Genomic DNA, 7,111 nt, shown 5'->3' with positions numbered 1-7,111 from the left:
AAGCTTGGAGAAACTCCTTTTATCTACGCACATGGGCACAGCCCACTGCTCTAGTTCTCAGCAGCAGGGAAGAACTCCTCATGCCAGCCCAGGCCCTGGGACTCAATCCTGGGTTTGAGCCCCTCGGCCGTGGCTAGCCAGGTCAATGTCCAGTACCTATTAATCCCCTCTTGCAAAGAGGAGTCCCACAGCAATCTGTTAGTCCCGTCGATTGTACAATGAAGCATCGTGCTGGCTGTGAACCATCAAGCTCTGCAACTATTTTATTGCCTTAGAAGACCTTCAGAGGGAGAAGCCATGTAAAAATAAAGTCTGAGCAGACTTTAAAGTTTTTATTATTTTATATTACGCCATGACTTGCATGGAATGACCACAAAGTGGCATAACCTTCCTGGTCATGTAACTTAACTCATCAGGCCTGGCTAGAAAGTGAGAACTCCCAGATACACAATTTAGTCCACCAGAAACATGGGAGGGAGCAAAGGAAAGAGAAAGAGACAGAGGAAGGCACAATGATAAATAATTATCTGCCTCTTCTCTAATAGGTTAGTGGCTCGTTCTAAAAATGATGATAATGTCATTGAATACAATCTCTGATTCATGGTCAAGGTCTTTTTGTTAAAGGAAAGGAGGTTTCTTAGAAGGACTGGATCTAATCAATACATATTTGATGTTCAAATGTTTGACTTTCAAACAAAATTTTTACAGCCAAAATAAAATGAAAGAAATGATACTGACAAGCTCTCTTGCCATGCCCTTGTCAAAGCACCCACAGAAAGAATAAGTGCAAAAGGTAACAAAGGCCCTCCCCTCCATCCAAAGAAACATATCCATGGAGTTCTGACAGCCGAGCTCCCCTCCCCTACCCAAACCCCAACACCATCAGGTCAGAGGAGCCCCGTGGCAGTCGGAAGCCCTGTCCCGCTGTTCCTCAGAAGCGGCCTGCTTTTTTGTGTCCCAGTCCATGTCTGTAATGAATAATCCATGGAGATCCATGTGCATATCGACATCAACAGAGGCACGGGCCAATTCCGTAAAGCTTTTGGCATCCAGAATGAGCAGAAAAGGCAGCTTTTGGGGATCAGTAGAGACAATGGCTGATAAGATTACTCCTTTAGGGAAACAGAAAAAAAACACTTCGTAAAAGTGCAGGCTTCAGTCGGAGGGATGAATTTCTCAGCATGTCTCTCTGCCCTCTTTAAACATATGTATCTAACCAAAACAGGAGGGAGTGAATTTGAGACACTGTAACAGAAGGGAAAGGCCTGGCAACTAGGCATCAGAAAACCTGGTTCTAGGCCGGGCGCGGTGGCTCACGCCTGTAATCCCGCCACTTTGGGAGCAGAGGTGGGCGGATCACTTCAGATCAGGAGTTTGAGACCAGTCTGGCCAACGTGGTGAAACCCCATCTCTACTAAAAATACAAAAATTAGCTGGGTGTGGTGGTGGGTGCTTGTAATCTCAGCTACTCAGTAGACTGAAGCCAGAGAATTACTTGAACCTGGGAGTGGAGGTTGCGGTGAGCCGAGATCGTGCCATTGCATTCCAGCCTGGGTGACGGAGTGAAACACGGCCTCAAAACAAACGAACAAACAAACGAATGAACAAACCAGAAAACCTGGTTCTACCCTTGGCTGGGCCAGTCCCTTGACCTCTCGGAGCCTCAGTCTCTTCATCTGTAGAGATGCGATAATCTCACCTACACTCCACAGGGTTGCCGAGAGTATCTCCTGAATGATGGATTTTGAAAGCACTCTGTAAATTATTGCAGGCATCGAAGAGTGGTATTCGGTTTTTTGTTTGTTTGTTTTGCTTTTTTGAGACAGGGTCTTACTCTGTTGCCCAGGCTAGAGTGCAGTGGTGTGATCACAGCTCACTGCAATCTCGATCTCTTGGGCTCAAGCTATCCTCCCACTTCAGCCCTCCAAGTAGCTGGGACTACAGGCACATGACACCACGTCTGGCTAATTTTTGTATTTTTTGTCAGATGGGGTCTCCCTATATCGCCCATGCTGGTCTTGGACTCCTGGGCTCAAGCGATCTGCCTACCTTGACCTCCCAAGTGCTGGGATTACAGGCATGAACCACCGCACCTGGCTTGAAGAATGGCATTTCAATGGGCCCAATTCATCTCTTGCACATGTAGCAGTGCTACTAAACTCATCCTTCCCCTCTGTAAAATGGAAATACTCTCAATACTCACTCTGAAGGGATAGAGAGTTAAATGAAATAATGCATATCAACTTCCTGCAAATACTCTCAATGCCTCCAGAGGGTCCCAGGTGGAAGAGCAGTTGAGCATCGTTGAGGTCAGATTGGCCTGGATTTAAATCTTACCTCTGAATGTAAGGGGTGTGTGACCTTGGGCAAAAAGGTCACTCTCTGAGCATCCCATTGGTAAAATGAAGACAACGATACTCCCTCCTCACAGAGAATGTAAAGGAAGTGTCCCACTGAGTGGGAGAACGACCTGAACAGGAGGCAAGGCCTGTGGTCCCCCGCCTTGGAGATGACAGTGACACAGGGTTGCTGGCCTGGCGTGCCATGCCATGATCAGTAGGAAGACAAGGCCCAGGTGGAAAACCACTCCCTTGTGACCTGAGGGAAGAAGCTGGCAGGCTCAAGTGGGGCAGCCTGCCCTCCTTGCAGGTGTGGCAGCCCCATTGCTGGTGTGGCCAGGTGGCATCCCCACCTATGGTTCTAGTTACCCTCCTTAGCCTCCTCAGGGCTGTGGGCAGGGCATTTCTGAAGCATTTCTGAGAATGGAAGAGGGAAAGCATCATTCAGTCAAGTGGAAACCTAGAAAATAGAGGTGGGCCACAAATACACATTTCCAGCGGCTCTGTGAAACATTTACATGCTTATACATTGTTAAAAATTTGGATCCGGGATCCAGGCCAGGTGCACTGGCTCACACCTGTAATCCCAGCACTTTGGGAGGCCAAGATGGGAGGATCGCTTGAGCCCAAGAGTTTGAGACCAGCCTGGGAAACATAGTGAGACCCTTTCTTTACAAAAAAATAAAAAGAATGAGCTAGGCATGGTGGTGTGCCCCTGTAGCTCCAGCTACTTGGTGGGCTGAGGCAGGAGGATCACTTGAGCCCAGGAGTTTGAGGCTGCAGTGAGCTATGATCATGCCACTACACTCCAGCCTGGGCAACAGAGCAAGACTCCATTTCTTAAAAACATTTGTTTGGGATCCAGCCACTGCAATCAATTTTAAAACCAAGATTCTGCATTCTGAGAGAGTTTAATGTCACTGAGTGGAAAGGAGATGGACTTTGTGCGGTAAAAAACTTAAACTTGTCTAAAGAGGGGGCTGGCTTTTGTCCTCAGCTTCTGGGAGGTCACCTCTATACCCGTCGAATGTCCTGCTTGATACAAGTATCTTTGTATACCTGGGGGCCTTGGGCCACATCAGGCAGTCTACCCTTACAGTGGGATTTATGGTGGGGCCTTGTGCCGTGTGGTATGAACTTGATCTCCAGGAGGACTGAAGACTAAATAAAGGTCAGACACACAGGCAGTCAACCATGTTTACATGACTGAGTCCCAATAAAAACTCTCCATACTGAGTCTCAGGGGAGCTTCCTGGCTGGCAGTAATACTCGGTGAGTATTGTCATACGTCATTGTCGGGAGAAGTCAGTGCTATCTGTGACTCTACTTGGAGAGGCACCTGGAAGCTCCTGCCTGGTCCCTGCTGGGCTCTGTCTTGTGCATCTCTTCCCTGTGCTAATTTTAGTCTGTATCTTTTCATTGCCACAAACCAGAACTGTGAACATAAGCACTTGCAGTGAGGTTGGTGATTTAATGAATTATTGAAGCTGAAGGCTATCTTGGGGACCCTCAAACTTTGCAATTGGTATCAGAAGTAAAGGTGGTCTTGGGGACTCCCTCACCCTTTAGCTTTGACCCAGACAGATGTACACTTCAAAGCACCAATCCACCCCCTTTATGACCTGGGGGGGTCAGCTGCCCCCAGATGGTGTCTCTGTTGGAGGGCGATCTGCAGTAACGTGCAGCAACTAGGCGTGGCTTCTTAGAGTCTTACCGTCATCCTCATCCTTGGCACCTGGCGCGGGCACAAACAGGGGTTCCGCTGGCCAGCAGTCGTCCTCTCTCCATTTTAAGGATGACTTTGTGAGAATGTCATATTTTATTATCTGTACATCCAACGAGGAAAAACACATAAATGACTTGTTTGAGAGAATACTATTCTCTGCAAATAGGAGTGCATGAAGATCCACACAGAGGAGATGAAGCCCATCGGATGTAGACTTTTGACGTAGTCTCCCAATGACAGCTACCTCTGGTGAGCACAGCCAAGAAAGGACAGGAGCTAACTCTCCTCCCCCAGTTTTTTGTTTGTTTGTTTGTTTTTTGAGACGGAGTTTCCAGGCTGTTGCCCAGGCTGGAGTGCAATGGCGTGATCTTGGCTCACTGCAACCTCGGCCTCCCGGGTTCAAGTGATTCTCCTGCCTCAGCCTCCTGAGTAGCTGGAATTACAGGCGTGTGCCACCACACCTGGCTGATTTTTTGTATTTTTAGTAGAGACGGGGTTTCACCATAGCCAGGTTGGTCTTGAACTCCTGACCTCAGGTGATCCGCCCACCTCAGCCTCCCAGAATGCTGGGATTACAGGTGTGAGCCACCGCGCCCGGCCTCCTCCCCCAGTTTTAAACATGGGTCCTCTGGCCACCACGTAGCTGATACTGTAGAAGGAATTCTTTTAAAAATTAAAATCTTTTAAAATTTATTATTATTTTTTAATATAGAGACAGGGTCTTGCTATTGTTGACCAAGCTGGTCTCGAACTCCTGGTCTCAAGCAATCCTCAGCCTCCCAAAGTGCTAGGATTACAGGCGTGAGCCACCACACCCTGCCTAAAAATATCGAACATATCTTGTATTTGAAATTGCACTGCAATTTTATATGAGTTAAATAAATGAATATATTCAATGCAAACATTTAAAGTACAATACAACCCCTTTGTTGCTTTAAGGGTGCAATTCCCTGAATCTCTCTTAATCTCCCAATAGGCCTATTTCCCTCTGGGGTTTGGGATTAGTGGAGAGTGGCTTGGGGTATGGAGGGGTGGAGGCTTAATTTTTGGCTGTGTACATTCCTGCTCTGTTTGCATTTTAAAAAAAAGATTTTCCATTTTATTATGAAAAATGAAGACATTAAAAAGAAGTGACACCTGCACAGCACTTAGCACAGTGCCCAGAACACAGTAAGTGTTTGACAAATGGTAGCTTAAGAAGCAAAATGGGCCAGGCATGGTGGCTCGAGGCTGTAATCCAGCACTTTTGGTGGCTGAGGCAGGAGGATCCCCTGAACCTAGGAATTCAAGACAGGCATGGACAACACAATGAGACTCTGTCTCTTTCTGTATTTTTTTTTTAAATAAAAAGGAAAAAACAAAACAAAACAAAAAAAGAAGCAAAATAAATCCTCTAAGTTTCAGCTACACCCTCTCTGCTGGAGAGGGTGAGTTCCTTAGGTCAGGGATTGGGAATCTCCCTGCTGACTTCCTTACCCTCAGTGCCTACCACATTGTAGCCCATAATTGGTGCTCATTAAATATGTATTGAATAAAGAAATCAGTGAATAAACTCCAGCCACAACCTCTTACCTGAACCTTAGCCCATTAGGTACCACTCCCTCTCCCAGCTGAACATCCTTACTTCAAATTTATTTTATCCTAGGCTTACTCCTTCTGACCTCCTCTTTTCTAATCAACGTCTCAGAACCTTAGAATTCAGCTTTGCATATAGACACAATCACTGTAGGAAAGGCTTGTGAATACACAGAGACCAGTACCTTGGTTGGGATTGGACTCCACTGAACTCCTGTAGCAAAGACATATCGGTATTGCTTTCCATTGTGAGCATAATTGACCCGTGGAAGCTCTAAGCCTACAAGGAAATGAGGAGGTGGATGAAGCCCCTATCATTGGGGGCTGGGAGCATCCACCCTTCCTGTCAGATTGGGTAGCCTTTCCTCAGAATCCGTTTCCACACCAAGATCCTTGAGCTTGATTTAGAGCCTGCATTGGATCAAAGGTGGTCAAAGGCAGGGGAGGGAGCCTCTGGTAATTTAATTACCCCAGCTCTATTAGAGAGTCCAGGAGCAAGGTACTCCAGACCTAGGTTTTAAGTGTATAAACATCTTTAATTATCCAACATAGAAATCAAAGAGAATTGCATGATTAAAATCAGAGGCTACTGCAATTTCTTAAAGCTTTTTTTCAAAAAAGTGCTGATGTGTATATATGTGTGCGTGCATGTGCACATATGTGATGAGAAATGGGAAGCTGGCTGGGCGCAGTGGCTCATGCCTGTAATCTCAGCACTTTGGGAGGCCGAGGCGGGCAGATCACTTGAGTTCGGGAGTTTGAGACCAGCCTGGCCAACATGGCAAAACCCTCCCTCTACTAAAAATACAAAGAAAATTAGCCAGGCATGGTGCCGCATGCCTGTAATTCCAGCTACTCAGGAGGCTGAGGCAGGAGAATCACTTGAACCCAGGAGGCAGAGGTTGCAGTGAGCCGAGATCGTGCCACTTCACTCCAGCCTGGGCCACAGAGTGAGACTCTGTCTCGAAAAAAAAAAAAAAGAAAAGAAAAGAAAAGAAAACAAAACAAAACAAAAAGAAAAGAAATAGGAAGCTGTGCTAGGCATGGTGGCTCATGCCTGTAATCCCAGCACTTTGGGAAGCTGAGATGGGAGGATCGCTTGAGGCCAGGAGTTTGAGACCAACCTGCTCAACATGGCAAGAACCCCATCTCTAAAATAAAAACTAAAAAATAAAACAGAATGGGAAGCTGTGGAAAAGGGTGTCAATGGAGAACAGTTAATTAAATCTGGTGAATTCTATAATAACATTATGGAAAAACAACATTTACAAATGATTTTAATAACATGGGCAAGTGTCCATACCATAAGGTTAAGTGTAAAATGCTGGTTATAGAATTATTGTATCTCCGCTAGGTTACAAATGAAGAGAAAAAATTTGGAAGCATTGCTGGGGTTCTAACTGCCTTACAGTTTACATTTTCTATGATAGAATCTAAGTTTCTCATTATGTGAAATTTTCATCATGCTTAT

The 7,111-nt window shown here is 46.0% G+C and overlaps 1 protein-coding gene across 6 annotated transcripts in view; it reads right to left on the bottom strand.

Annotated features, from left to right (window-relative positions):
* Nucleotides 318-7,111, bottom strand: part of BCO1 (beta-carotene oxygenase 1) — a 52,454-nt gene continuing 45,660 nt past the window's right edge. For 2 of the 6 annotated variants that reach the window (NM_017429.3, XM_017023289.2), the window contains 3 exons: nt 5,826-5,920; nt 4,054-4,165; nt 318-1,112 (listed from right to left, as the gene is read on the bottom strand). In NM_017429.3, coding sequence (NP_059125.2) covers nt 883-1,112; nt 4,054-4,165; nt 5,826-5,920 — 437 coding nt within the window. In that variant the 3' untranslated portion in view covers nt 318-882. Of the gene's footprint in view, nt 1,113-4,053; nt 4,166-5,825; nt 5,921-7,111 lie in introns of those variants that run through there. The other 4 variants (XM_017023287.3, XM_011523109.3, XM_017023286.3 and 1 more) reach the window with 4 other exon arrangements.

This window comes from Homo sapiens, chromosome 16 (genome assembly GCF_000001405.40).
Source record: "Homo sapiens chromosome 16, GRCh38.p14 Primary Assembly".
NCBI classification, from domain to species: domain Eukaryota; kingdom Metazoa; phylum Chordata; class Mammalia; order Primates; family Hominidae; genus Homo; species Homo sapiens.
This window is presented reverse-complemented; position numbering and strand designations above follow the sequence as displayed.